The sequence below is a fragment of the Homo sapiens genome, chromosome 21, assembly GCF_000001405.40.
Source record: "Homo sapiens chromosome 21, GRCh38.p14 Primary Assembly".
NCBI classification, from domain to species: Eukaryota; Metazoa; Chordata; class Mammalia; order Primates; family Hominidae; genus Homo; species Homo sapiens.
The window spans coordinates 42,957,897-42,972,315 of NC_000021.9; the positions used below are offsets into that span (position 1 = coordinate 42,957,897).

Consider the following 14,419-nt stretch of genomic DNA (forward strand, 5'->3'; position numbering starts at 1 on the left):
ACAACATGGTGAAACCTCGTCTCTACTAAAAATACAAAAATTAGCCGGGCGTGGTGGTGCACGCCTGTAATCCTACCTACTCAGGAGGCTGAGGCAGGAGAATCGCTTGAGCTTGGGAGAAGGAGGTTGCAGTGAGCTGAGAGGGCACCACTGCACTCCAGCCGGGGCGAGAGAGAGAGAGACTCTGTCTTAAAAAAAAAAAAAAAAGGAAACCTTGGCAAAATAAATTTTCTAAATTAATTGAGACCTGCCTCAGATACTTTTGGGTTCTTGTAACTAAGCATTCATCAGGCTGCACTTTAGCCCACTTTCTTGTAACTGAAAGTCCCCTAGCCATAGATACTGACAATTTGCACCCCTATTGTTCCCACAGATAGGATCTCTGACGTTAGAATCATAAGGCTTTCGTTTAAGAATTGCTTAAGATGTAGGCCGGGTGTGGTGGCTCATGCCTGTACTCCCAGCACTTTGGGAGAATGAGGTGGGTGGGTCACTTGAGGTCAGGAGTTTGAGACCAGCCTGGCCAATATGGTGAAACCCCGTCTCTACTGAAAATACAAAATTAGCTGGGTGTGGTGGCACGTGCGTGTAATCCTAGCTACTCAGGAGGCTGAGGCAGGAGAATCGATTGAACCTGGGAGGCGGAGGTTGTGGTGAGCCAAGATTGCACCATTGCACTCCAGCCTGGGCAACAAGAGCAAAACTCTGTCTCAAAAAAAAAGGGGGGGGTGGGGGGCTGGGCGCGGTGGCTCACGCCTGTAATCCCAGCACTTTGGGAGGCCAAGGTGGGCGGGTCACGAGCTCAGGAGATCGAGACCATCCTGGCTAACACGGTGAAACCCCGTCTCTACTAAAATACAAAAAGCCAGGCGTGGTGGCGGGCACCTGTAGTCCCAGCTACTCGGGAGGCTGAGGCAGGAGAATGGCATGAACCCAGGAGGCGGAGCTTGCAATGAGCCACTGCACTCCAGCCTGGGGGACAGAGCAAGATTCCGTCTCAAAAAAAAAAAAAAGAATTGCTTAAGATGTTTTCCAGATTCTGAATTCCAGCAGAATGGCTGACACTAGACAGTTTAAAGCCCCTTCGCAGAGTAACCAAGTCAACATGAGAATCCAGGTGTCTGTCTCCAACCTGTGCTTTTCGACCAATCAGTGATGCCCACACCTTGGTCCACTTCAAACCTCTTAAGATCCCCAGCCCCAGACTCCTGAGGGAAGCTGCTTTGAGGTGTCCTCTCCTCTAGGCATTCCGCAGCATTAGGACGACACCTCTCTCTCTCTGCTGGAACCCTCCATCGGTGTTTGGACTTGTGCATCAGGCAACCGACCTGTTAAGGTCACAGCAGCAAAAGCTGAGCTAATGGTGTTATTTCCATCAAGCTGTTAAGCCTGTAAAGATCTTTATCAGGCGAGACTTTGTGGTCCTGTCATACCGAAAGTAGTGCAAGGGTACACCCCTCTGTAGCCGACCAGAATATGCCACTCCAAATGTGCCTCTTGGCATAGAATTATTATTATTATTATTATTATTCTTATTTTTTATGAGATGGAGTCTTGCTCTGTATGCCCAGGCTAGAGTGCAATGGCGTGATCTTGGCTCACCGCAATCTCCGCCTCCTGGGTCCAAGCGATTCTCCTGTCTCAGCCTCCCAAGTAGCTGGGATTACAGGCACGCACCACCACGCCCGGCTATTTTGTATTTTTAGTAGAGACAGGGTCTCTCCATGTTGATCAGGCTGGTCTCGAACTCCTGATCTCAGGTGATCCACCTGCCTCGGCCTCCCAAAGTGCTGGGATTACAGGCGTGAGCCATCACGCCTGGCCCGGCATAGAATTATTTTGAGCTGATTATTTTGACAGCCAGCAGACACAGGAGTCCTGGATACAGTGTATAAATTACCCTTTTGTAAGGGAAATCTACATTTATAAAGGAATCTCCATTGGTCCCGGCATCTTCCTCTTCATATCAGGAGGAGGAGGATTCTAAATCACAAGAGACATCATCCGCATAACAAACCCTGCCCTTGTTGACTCCACTCCTCTCCTGAGGGTCACTTTCCCGTACCCTGCCTCCTCATCTTCTTCTTTTGTTTTAGCAGAAGATGGTATTTAAGCCCAAATTCTTTTTTTTTTTTTTCCTTTTGAGACATTGTCTTGTCTCTGTTACCAGGCTGGAGTGCAGTGGTGTGATCTTGGCTCATCACAACCACCACCTCCCAGGTTCAAGCAATTCTCCCGCCTCAGCCTCTCGAGAAGCTGGGATTACAGGCATGTGCCACCACGCCTGGTTAATTTTTGTATTTTTAGTAGAGACGGGGTTTCACCATGTTGGCCAGGCTGGTCTCGAACTCCTGACCTCAGGTGATCCACCCACCTCGGCCTCCTGAAGTACTGGGATTATAGGCATGAGCCACCACGACCAGCCTCAAAATTCTTTTTTTAAGACAGGGTCTCACTTTGTCGCCCAGGTTGGAGTGCAGTGACGCGAACACAGCTCACTGCGGCCTCCCAGGCTCAAGCAATCCTCCTACCTCAGCCTCCCTAGTAGCTCAGACTACAGGTGTGCACCACCACGCCCCACTAACTTTCTTTTTGTATGTTTTATAGAGATGGAGTTTTGCCATGTTGCCCAGGCTGGTCTGGAACTCCTCAGCTCAAGCGATCCACTTGCCTCAGCCTCCCAAAATATAACCACCCAACGAGTTCACCTTGCCTGCTGTCTAGACAGCTGATTTATCAACACAGGGGAACTGAAATAGAGAAAGAGCAATTTACCAGGGCCAGCTATGTGGGAGACCAGAGTTTTATTATTACTCGGATTACTCAAAATTACCCAAGAATTTCGGGATCAGAGGTGTTTTTTGTTTGTTTGTTTGTTTGTTTGGGACAGAGTTTCACTCTGTCACCCAGGCTGGAGTGCAATGGTTCGATCTCGGCAACCTCTGCCTCCTGGGTTCAAGCAATTCTCCCGCCTCAGCCTCCTAAGTAGCTGGGATACAGGCACACCATCACCATGCCTGGCTAATTTTTGTATTTTTGTAGAGACGGGGTTTCGCCATGTTGGCCAGGCTGGTCTTGAGTTCCTGACTTCAGGTGATCCACCCACCTCGGCCTCCCAAAGTGCTGGGATTACAGGCATGAGCCACTGCGCCTGGCCTTTTTTTTTTTTTTTTGAGATGGAGTGTTGCTCTGTCCCCCAGGCTGTAGTGCAATGGCGTGATCTCGGCTCACTGCAACCTCCACCTCCCAGCTTCAAGTGATCCTCCTGCCTCAGCCTCCCGAGTAGTTGGGATTACAGGCACCAACCACCATGCCCAGCTAATTTTTTTATTTTAGTAGAGACGAGGTTTCGCCATATTGGGCAGGCTGATAATTTTTGTATTTTTAGTTGAGACGGGGTTTCACCATGTTGGCCAGGCTAGTCTTGAACTCCTGACCTCAAGTGATCTACATGCCTCAGCCTCCCAAAGTGTTGGGATTACAGGCATGAGCCACCGTGCCCGACTGGGGATCAGAGTTTTTGTTTTGTTTTTTCTTTTTTTGAGATGGAGTCTTGCTTTGTCACCCAGGCTGGAGTGCAGTGGCATGATCTTGGCTCACTGCAAACTCCGCCTCCTGGGTTCACACCATTCTCCTGCCTCAGCCTCCAAAGTGGCTGGGACTACAGACGCCCACCACTATGCCCGGCTCATTTTTTGTATTTTTAGTAGAGACGGGGTTTCACCGTGTTAGCCAGAACGGTCTCCATCTCCTGACCTCGTGATCTGCCCGCCTCGGCCTCCCAAAGTGCTGGGATTACAGGCGTGAGCCACTGTGCCTGGCCCAGAGTTTTTAAGGATAATTTGGTGGGTAGGGAGCCGTTGGGTCAGGAGTGCTGATTTGTCAGGTCGGAGATGAAATTACAGGAAGTTGAGGCTGTCCTCTTGGGCTGACTTGGTTCCTGGGAGGGGGTCAGAAGACCCCATGAGCCAGTTTATCGGTAGGAGTGGTGTCAGCTGATCCATCGAGTGCAGGGTCTGCAAAATATCTCAAGCGCTGATCTGAGGTTTGACAGTAGTGATGTGATCCCTAGGAGCAATTTTGCAGCCTCCAGCTGCAAGACTCCTAAACAATAATTTCTAATTTTGTGGCTAATTTGTTAGTCCTGCAAAGGCAATCTAGTCCCCAGGTAGGAAGGGGATGTGTTTAGGGAAAGGGCTCTATCGTCTTTGTTTCAAAGCTAAACCATAAACTAAGTTCCTCCCAGAGTTAGTTCGGCCTCCACCCAGGAACAAACAAGGACAGCTTGGAGGTTAGAAGCAAGATGGACTTAGTTAGGCCAGATGTCTTTCACTGTAATGATTGCCTCACTTATAATTTTTGCAAAGGTGGTTTCAAAAGGGCTGGGATAGAAGCCCAAATTCTATGTCACCTCTTTAAATTTACTCATCCCTGAGTTTCTCCATTATCCCTGAGAGATACATGCTAATAAACATCCATCTTTCCCCTGTTAATTTGTCTTTTGTAGCAGGGTCCCCAGTGAGAACCTGGAAGGGTAGAATAAAATGAGCAATTTTCCTTCCCCTACACAGTTAAAAGAGAAGAGCTCTGGCGGGATGAAGACCTGGGCCTGGAGCCTGTCTTGAACACGCCCAGTGGTTTTCTCCCATGTAAAAGGAGCTGGAGAGATTTCTCCCATCTCTAGAATTCCATGAATGCATTCTGTTCCTTAATCTTTCCACTGATCCTGACTGATAATTGCACATACACAAAAGTGCACTTACTTGTAGATGCTAGGATATGTGGAGGTAGGGACAGTATTCCTAGTATATGTAAGAAGGGTATATGTATCCAGTATCCTAGTATATGTATCCAGTCACACATGCAGGAAGCAAGAGAGGCAGCTGACACGGCCACCAAGGGAGGCACCCTGTCCAGACCAAGCCCACAAGCTTCTCTTTCTTTTTTCTTTTCTTTTCTTTTCTCCCTTCCCTTCCCTTCCCCTCCCCTCCCCTCCCCTCCCCTCCCCTCCCCTCCCCTCCCCTCCCCTCCCCTCCCCTCCCCTCCCCTCCCTTCCCTTCCCTTCCCTTCTCTTCGACGGAATCTTGCTCTGTCGCCCAGGCTGGAGTGCAGTGGTGTGATCTTGGCTCACTGCAAAATCCGCCTCCCAGTTTCAAGCAATTCTCTGCCTCAGCCTCCAGAGTAGCTGGTGCCCATCGCCATGCCCAGCTAATTTTTGTGTAAAAATTGGCCCCGCAAGCTTCTTTCTATCCTCAATGAAAATACGTTGTGGCCGGGCGTGGTGGCTCACGCCTGTAATCCCAGCACTTTGGGAGGCCACAGTGGGTGGATCACCTGAGGTCAGGAGTTCAAGACCATCCTGGCCAACATGGTGAAACCCCATCTCTACTAAAAATACAAAAATTAGCTGGCTGTGATGGTGCATGCCTGTAATCCTAGCTCTTCAGGATGCTAAGGCAGGAGAATAGCTGGAACCTGGGAGATGGAGGTTGCAGTGAGCAGAGATCAGGACATTGCACTCCACCCTGGGTGACAAGATCAAAACTCCATCTTAAAAAAAAAAAAAAGAAAGACAGAAAAGAAAATATGTAGTAGAAACAGCAACTGTGTTGGCTGGACACAGTGGCACATACCTGTAATCCGAGCACTCTGGGAGGCTGAGGCAGGCAGATTGCCTGAGCTCAGGAGTTGGAGACCAGCCTGGGCAACATGGCAAAACCCATCTCTTTTAAAAATAGAAAGGAAAGGGCCAGGCGTGGTGGATCACTCGTGTAGTCCCAGCACTTTGGTAGGCCAAGGCTGGTGGATCACCTGAGGTCAGGAGTTTGAGACCAGCCTAAGCAACATGGTGAAACCCTATCTCTACTAAAAATACCAAAATTATCTGGGTGTGGTGGCATGTGCCTGTAATCCCAGCTACTTAGGAGGCTGAGACAGGAGAATCGCTTGAACCTGGGAGGCGGAGGTTGCAGTGAGCTGAGATCATGCCCCTGCACTCCAACCTGGGTGACAGAGGGAGACTCCGTCTCAAAAAAAAAAAAAAAAAAAAAAAAGAAAAGAAAGAAAGAAAAAAAAAAGGAACAGTAACTGTGTTCTCAAATATCTCACGAGATGGTAAACGTTCATTTCAGCACAATTAGGAAAACAGCCAAGAATGAGGGGCAAGAAGAGAAAGGCGTTTTTTCAGCTTGATGCTCCTTTTCGTGCTAACTGTGCACTGCCTGGGCACAGAAGGCAGCGTGCCAGCTCGCCTCCCTTGCCTCTGGGCATTCCTCTGTAGCCTGGAGAGGGGCCCACCATCCCTCCCGTCCCTCCCTCTTCTCTCCCCTACCCCACTCCTCATCCAAGCTGAGAGGGGGCACATTCCCTCCAGTGAGGGTCCAGGCCCGGGGGGCCTGTGCAGGCAGGAAAGCAACCTGTCCACATAGCACTGCTGTGGGCAGGTAGGAAGCAGGACTGCGGGGACTAGGAGGCCCCTTCTCTGTGCCTGATTTTAGCTGCACAGTCCCGCCAGGAAGGGCCAATGGTGAGCGGTCACTGGGACCATGGGCCTTCCAGGATTGTCCTACTGCGGCCTTGGTGTCCACAGTGGGAAAGCAGGCAACGGTGCCATGTGTGGGTAAATGTCACTAAAGCATATGCCATTGTGAGGGTCCAGAGACAGGAATGCATCCTGCATTAGTCAGGGTTCTCCAGAGAAACAGAACCGATAGGATGGAGATAGATGTACATAGACGGATAGTGAGAGAGGGAGAGATTTATTTTAAGAATCGAGACTGGCAAGTCTGAAATTTGCAGGGCAGTCTGGAAATTCTAGCAAGAGATGCTGCTGGCGGTGCGGCGTGAGTCCCAATTCAAAGGCAGTGTGGAGGCAGAATTCCTTCCTTCTTAGGGAACCTCAGTCTTTTCTCTGAAGGCCTTAAATGGATGCATGAGGCCCACGCACATTATGGAGGGTAACGTGCTTCACTGAAATCTACTTAGGAAAATGTTAATCCCATCTAAAAACATCTTCACAGACACATCCAGGGTGCTCTGTGACCACTGAGCCAGGCACCATAGCCTAGCCACATTGACACATAAAATTAACCAGCCCAGGTCCCAAAGCTCAGGAAGTATCATCTTGTCCCAGGGCAGGTAACCCCATATCCAGTGCCACCCGTACACCCCACCGTATTGGAGTTCCTGCTCATCGAGCTTCCTCACCTGTCTGAGCACACCTGGCTCAGGTGCAGCCGTTGTCCATCAGGGACCCGGAGCCTTCTCTTGCTGTCTCCATCCAGGCTCCCCAAGGCTTTGGTCTCTTCCATTGCTGACTTGCCCTGTTGAGCTGGGGCTCATCATATTTCTCTATTGTTGCTGTAGTTTTTGTGTGTGGAATTTTTTTATTTTTGTAGAGACGGGTCTTACTATGTTGTCCAGGCTGGTCCCAAACTCCTGGCCTCAAGCAGTCCTCCTGCCTTGGCCTCCCGAAGTGCTAGGACTACAAGTGTGAGCCATGGAGCCCAACCAGTTAATCATGTTTCAACTGTTCATTGACCTCATTGAGAAATTACATATTTGGGCTGGGCGCAGTGGCTCATGCCTGTAATCCCTACATTTTGGGAGGCCAAGGTAGGAGGATCCCCTGAACCCAGGAGTTCAAGACCAACCTGGGCAACATGATGAAATCGTGTCTCTACAAAAAAATACAAAAATTAGCTGGGCATGGTGGCACACATCTGCAGTCCCAGCTACTCTTGAGGCTAAGGTGGGAGGGTCACCTGAATGCAGGGAGGATGAGGCTGCAGTGAGCAGAGATCCTGCCACTGCACTGCAGTCTGGGCAACAAAGTGAGACCCTGTCTCAAAAAAGAAAAAAAAATCTAATTTCAATTAAAATAAAATTAAAAAGAAGGCCAGTTTCGATGGCTCATGCCTGTAATCCCAGCAGTTTGGGAAGCTGAGGCAGGTGGATTATTTGAGGTCAGGAGTTCAAGACCAGCCTGGTCAACATGGTGAAACCCCATCTCTACAAAAAATGCAAAAATTAGCCCATTGGTAGTGGCATATGCCTGTAATCCCAGGTACTCGGGAGGCTGAGGCAGGAGAATCATTTGAGCTTGGGAGGCAGAGGTTGCAGTGAGCTGAGATCATGCCACTGCACTCCATTCTGGGTGACAGAGTGAGACCCTGTTTCAAAAAAAAAAAGAAAATTATAGCTTTGAAGAATTGGCTTTTCTTCCCCCCGAGACGGAGTCTTGCTTTGTCGCCCAGGCTGGAGTGCAGTGGCGCGATCTCGGCTCACTGCAAGCTCTGCCTCCCAGGTTCACGCCATTCTCCTGTCTCAGCCTCCCGAGTAGCTGGGACTACAGGCGCCCGCCACCACGCCCAGCTAATTTTTTCTCTTTTTTTTGTATTTTTAGTAGAGACGGGGTTTCACCGTGTTAGCCAGGATGGTTTCGATCTCCTGACCTTGTGATCTGCCTGTCTCGGCCTCCCAAAGTGCTGGGATTACAGGTGTGAGCCACTGCGCCCCGCTGGGCTTTTTTTTTTTTTTTGAGACAGGGTCTCAGCTTTTTAGTCTGTCACCTAACCAGGAGTGCAATGGTGTGATCTGCGCTCACTACAACCTGTGCCCCCCGGGGCTCAAGCAATCCTCCCATCTCAGCCTCCCAAGTAGCTGGGACCACAGGTATGCACCACCACACCCAGCTATTTTTTAAATTTTGTTTTGTTTTGTTTTGTTTTGAGATAGAGTGTCTCTCTGTCACCCAGGCTGGAGTGCAATGGTGAGATCTCGGCTCACTGCAACCTCCGCCTCCCAGGTTCAAGTAATTTTCCTGCCTTGGCCTCCCCAGTAGCTGGGAATGCAGGCACGTGCTACCATACCTGGCTAATTTTTTTTTTTTTTTTTTGAGATGGAGTCTTGCTTTGTTGTCCAGGCTGGAGTGCAATGGCATGATCTCAGCTCACTGCAACCTCCACCTCCCAGGTTCAAGTGATTCTCCTGCCTCAGCCTCCCGAGTAGCTGGGACTACAGGTGTGTGCCAACACGTCTGGCTAATTTTTTTGTTTTTGTTTTTCTTGAGACAGAGTCTCACTCTGTTGTCCAGGCTAGAGTGCAGTGGCGTGATCTCGGCTTACTGCAACCTCCGTCTCCCGGGTTCAAATGATTCTCCTGCCTCAGCCTCCTGAGCAGCTGGGATTACAGGCATGTGCCACCACGCCCAGCTAATTTTTGTATTTTTACAAACATGGGGTTTCACTCCTGACCTCATGATCTGTCTGCCTCAGCCTCCCAAAGTGTTGGAATTACAGGCATGAGCCACCGCACCCGGCCAATTTTTGTATTTTTAGTAGAGATGGGGTTTCACCATGTTGGCCAGGCTGGTCTTGAACTTCTGACCTCAGGTGATCCACCCACCTCAGCCTCCCAAAGTGCTGGGATTACAGGAGTGAGCCACTGTGCCCAGCCCTAGAATTGGCTTTTATCAGTTAATAAACTTGAGTGATTTGGAGACTAATTAGAGTGCACACTAATACAATATTTGAATAGTTCCAGCTGGGCGCAGTGGCTTATGCCTATAATCCCAGCACTTTGGGAGGCCGAGGTGGGTGGATCACCTGAGGTCAGGAGTTCGAGACCAGCCTGACCAACGTGGAGAAATCCCATCTCAACTAAAAATACAAAATTACCCGAGTGTGGTGGCACATGCTTGTATTCCCAGCTACTCGGGAGGCTGAGGCAGGAGAATCGCTTGAACCCAGGAAGCGGAGGTTGTGGTGAGCTAAGATCGCGCCATTGCACTCCAGCCTGGACAGCAAGAGGGAAACTCTGTTTCAAAAAAGAAAAAAATATTGAACAGTTCCTGGCATGAGATGTATGAGACATTGGAGCAGTGTGTGAGAATGAACTCTATGCAAAATCAAAAGCAGATGAGGGCCAGGCGTGGTGGCTCAGGCCTGTAATCCCCGCACTTTGGGAGGCCGAGGCGAGTGGATCACCTGAGGTCAGTCAGGAGTTCAAGACCAGCCTGGCTAACATGGCAAAACCCTGTCTCTACTAAAAATGCAAAAATTAGCTAGGCGTGGTGGTGGGCACCTGTAATCCCAGCTACTCAGGAGGCTGAGTCAGGAGAATTGCTTGAACCCAGGAAGCGGAGGCTACAGCGAGCCGAAATCAGCGCCCTAGTTTTCAGTGGCTTCTCGTTCATTTTTCTCAGTGAAGCCTCTCAGATCCTAATCATCCTTTAAGAACAACTCAAGTTCCTCCAGTGTCATTTTCAAATACTCCCCCATGTACCGTAGCTCTGGTGTGTGCTGTGCCCCATCTGGGTTACTGCTACCTTTATTCCCTGTGCCTCACAAGTGAGTGCTGGGATTACAGGCGTGTGCCACCACGCCCGGCTAATTTTTTGTATTTTTAGTAGAGACGGAGTTTCACCATCTTGGCCAGGCTGGTCTTGAACTCCTGACCTCATGATCCACCCTCCTCGGCCTCCCAAAGTGCTGGGATTACAGGCGTGAGCCATCGTGCCCGGCCTACTGCAACCTGTTTTATTAGCAAGGTCTTTATGACTTGTATTGTATCTTGTCCTGACCTCTTATACCATCCTGTGACTTTGAATGCCTTAACTGTCTGGGAATGCAGCCCAGTAGGTTTCAGCCTCATTTCACCCAGCTCCTATTCAAGATGGAGTTGGTCTTCTTCATACGCCTCACGTATTTCTCCTTTTTTTTTTTTTTTTTTTTTTTTTGCGACAGGGTCTTACTCTGTTGCCCAGGCTTCAGTGCAGTGGCATGCTCTCAAGCCTTCCAAGTAGCTGGGACTACTGGTGTGCACCATGACACCTGCTAGTTACAAATTTTTTTTTGCGGCTGGGTGCAGTGGCTCACGCCTGTAATCCCAGCACTTTGGGAGGCCGAGATGGGCGGATCACGAGGTCAGGAGATCGAGACCATCCTGGCTAACACGGTGAAACCCCGTCTCTACTAAACAAAATACAAAAAACTAGCCGGGCGCGGTGGCGGGCGCCTGTAGTCCCAGCTACTCGGGAGGCTGAGGCAGGAGAATGGTGTGAACCCAGGATGCGGAGCTTGCAGTGAGCCGAGATGGCGCCACTGCACTCCAGCCTGGGCGACAGAGCAAGACTCGGTCACAAAAAAAAAAATTTTTTTCTTCTTTTGTAGAGACCAGGATGGGTGTGTGCAGGGGGCAGTGGGGGGGTCTCACCATATTGCCCACACTAGTCTCAAACTCCTGGCCTCACGCCTCCTGAAGTGCTGGGATTGCAGGAATGAGCCACTGCACCCAGTCTAGTCATGTCTTTCTTTTTCTTTTTTTGAGACAGAGTCTCGCTCTATACCCCAGGCTGGAGTGCAGTGGCATGATCTCGGCTGACTGCAATCTCTGTCTCCTGGATTCAAGCAATTCTCATGCCTCTGTGATACCCTACCTTGTTTTAACCTGAGTGACCCTCTCCTAGGAGAGAGAGAGCCAGACAGACTCCATTTTAGTTTCTTCATTGGCAGCCCCCTTTCACCTCCCTCCCTTAAGGCGTAGCTAGTGTAAACTGACTCTAAGCACGTCCAGGAATGCACCTACTGATAAGATAGTGAGGCAAGCCGCACTAGCAGCTCCTGGGGATGAGCACGGTGGATGGCACCCAAAACCCCTGCATTTATCTCTTTGTGATAGTTTAAGCCCCTGCACCTGGAACTGTTTATTTTTTTAACTGCATTTGTAACCAATTAATTTTTTAATTTTTTGCCAGTTCTGCTTCTGTAAAAATTGTTTCAGCTAAAATCCCCCTCCCCTATTTAGACCATGGTATAAAAACAAAACTAGCCCCTTCCTCGGGGCCGAGAGAATTTTGAGCGTTAGCTGCCTCTTGGTTGCCGGCTAATAAAGGACTCTTTAATTTGTCTCAAAGTGTGGCGTTTCTCTATAACTCGCTTGGTCACAACACCTCAGCCTCCCAAGTAGCTGGGATTACAGGCGCCTGCCACCACACCCAGCTAATTTTTGTATTTTTTTTTTTTTTTTTTGAGACAGAGTTTTGCTCTTGTTGCCCAGAATAGAACGCAGTGGCGCAATCTCGGCTCACTGCAACCTCCACCTTCTGATTTCAAGTGACTCTCCTGCCTCAGCCTCCCAAGTAGCTGGGATTACAGGCGCCTGCCACCATGCCCATCTAATTTTTTTGTATTTTTAGTAGAGAAGGGGTTTCACCATGTTGGTCAGGCTGGTCTCAAACTGCTAACCTCGTGATTCACCCGCTTCGGCCTTCCAAAGTGCTGGGATTACAGGCGTGAGCCACTGATCCTGGCAATTTTTGTATTTTTAGTAGAATCGGGGTTTCACCATGTTGCCCAGGCCAAGAGTTTGAGACCAGCCTGGTCAGCAAGGTGAAATCCCGCCTCTACTAAAAATACAAAAATTAGCTGGGCATGGTGGCGGGCACCTGTAATCTGAGCTACTTGGGAGGCTGAGGTAGAAGAATTGCTTGAACCCAGCAGGCAGAGGCTGCAGTGAGCCAAGATCATGCTAGTGCACTTCAGCCTGGGTGATATAGCAAGACTCCATCTCAAAAAAAAAAAAATTAACAAATATTATAGAAAACATGTTGTAAAGAAAATAGAATGGCTGCTTATTTGAATTAAAATGTACCTGTTTTTTTTTCTTTCTTTTTTTTTTTGAGACGGAGTCTTGCTCTTTCGCCCAGGCTGGAGTGCAGTGGCGCGATCTCTGCTCACTGCAAGCTCTGCCTCCTGGGTTCACGCCATTCTCCTGCCTCAGCCTCCCGAGTAGCTGGGACTACAGGCGTCTGCCACCACGCCCGGCTAATTTTTTGTATTTTTAGTAGAGAGGGGGTTTCACCCTGTTAGCCAGGATGGTCTCGATCTCCTGACCTCGTGATCCGCCCACCTCGGCCTCCCAAAGTGCTGGGATTACAGGCGTGAGCCACTGAGCCCGGTCTGTTTTTTTTTCTTTAGAAACCACTTCGGTGCTCAACACCGGGAAGAGGGCCCCCATGGCCACACAGGTGTGGTTGGAGGCAAAGGTGGATTCACAGGGAAGCAAATGAGTCTTCACCCCCTCTAAAGCCCCATACCTACCTCACTTTGAATTATTTTCCTAAAGACTCCTCACAGTATGCAAGTTTCAGGGCCCAGCAAACTTTGCCCATCCCTGGAGGAGGAGACTACTGATAGTGCATCTGTCAGGGGCATTTGAACCAAAGCGACTCCATCTTGAATAGCGACTGGGTAAAATAAGACTGAGACCTATTGGGCTGCGTTTCCAGGAGGTTAAGGCATTCTTAGTCACAGGGAGAGATAGGAGGACACAAGACACAGGTCACAAAGACCTTGCTGATAAAACAGGTAAAGAAGCCGGCCAAATCCCACCAAAACCAAGATGAGGATGAAAGTGACTGCTGGTCGTCCTCACTGCTCATTATATGCTAATTATAATACATTAGCATGCTAAAAGACACTCCCACCACTGTCAGGACAGTTTACAAATGCCATGGCAATGGCAGGAGGTTACCCTATATGGCCTAAAAAGGGGAGGAACCCTCAGTTCCCACCCCTGTTCAGGAAACCTCATGAATAACCCACCCTGTGTTTAGCATATAATCAAGAGCTAACAATATATGTATAAGCTGCCGGGGGAGGAAGGCAGGGCAGGAAAGAAAAACAAGCAAGCAAACAAACAAAAAGTATAAGCAACTGAGCAGCCACGCCACTGGTGGGCCTATGGAGTAGCTGTTCTTTTATTCCTTTGCTTTCTTAATAAACTTGCTTTCAGTTTATGGACTTGCCCTGAGTTCTTTCTTGCTCAAGATCCAAGAATCCCCTCTTGGGGTCTGGATCAAGACCCCCTTTCTGGCAACACATCCCGGCCTTTCCCCCTTTTCTGAAGACAGACTTCAGAAATGAAGAAAAAGAAGGGTGGCCGCTCATGGTGGGTGAAACGGCAAAGCAGCTGGCAGAGAAGGCACCTAGCTGATGACCCCAGAGTCTTCTGGGCCCAGAGTGGGATGGCAGGGCCTGGGCTTCTGTCTGCCCTGGACTTGCTGCAGCTGCTTCCTGGGCTCTGGGTGACCATGCGCTCAGGTCCTCCTGTGGAACTCCTGCTGTCTCACAGGCCAGATGCAAATAAATGAAAGCTTCAGACCGGGGGCAGGTGTAGGTGTGGCCAGTGAGCCCCGGGCTGCTTCCAGGGGCCTGAACAGCATGTCACAGGGCCCCTGCCCCTGCTGAGAAGGGCCCAGGCTTGGGGTAAGGTTCTGCTGTCACTGCCTTGAAATTCTTCACTGTAATTTCTGAGCCAGGGACTTTGTCTTACTGGAATGGGGTCTCAATCCAGATCCCAAGAGAGGGTTCTTGGAGTTTACACAAGAAAGAATTCAGGGAGAATCCACAGAGTAAAG

The 14,419-nt window shown here is 49.6% G+C and overlaps 1 long non-coding RNA gene across 1 annotated transcript, besides 3 other annotated features; it reads right to left on the reverse strand.

Annotated features, from left to right (window-relative positions):
* Positions 1,669-2,518: an enhancer, noted in NCBI's record as "OCT4-NANOG-H3K27ac hESC enhancer chr21:44379675-44380524 (GRCh37/hg19 assembly coordinates)". NCBI's record gives its function as "activates a minimal SCP1, AML or CMV promoter by ChIP-STARR-seq in naive H9 embryonic stem cells {active_cell/tissue: H9 hESC(naive)}" and the evidence as "EXISTENCE:reporter gene assay evidence [ECO:0000049][PMID:30033119]".
* LOC124905024 (uncharacterized) lies at positions 6,742-7,623 on the reverse strand. Its single transcript, XR_007067883.1, has 2 exons — positions 7,207-7,623; positions 6,742-6,918 (listed from the first exon to the last, which is right to left on the reverse strand). It is a non-coding gene; the product is annotated as an uncharacterized LOC124905024 (long non-coding RNA).
* Positions 9,624-10,124: an enhancer, noted in NCBI's record as "H3K27ac hESC enhancer chr21:44387630-44388130 (GRCh37/hg19 assembly coordinates)". NCBI's record gives its function as "activates a minimal SCP1, AML or CMV promoter by ChIP-STARR-seq in naive H9 embryonic stem cells {active_cell/tissue: H9 hESC(naive)}" and the evidence as "EXISTENCE:reporter gene assay evidence [ECO:0000049][PMID:30033119]".
* Positions 13,583-14,342: an enhancer, noted in NCBI's record as "H3K27ac-H3K4me1 hESC enhancer chr21:44391589-44392348 (GRCh37/hg19 assembly coordinates)". NCBI's record gives its function as "activates a minimal SCP1, AML or CMV promoter by ChIP-STARR-seq in primed H9 embryonic stem cells {active_cell/tissue: H9 hESC(primed)}" and the evidence as "EXISTENCE:reporter gene assay evidence [ECO:0000049][PMID:30033119]".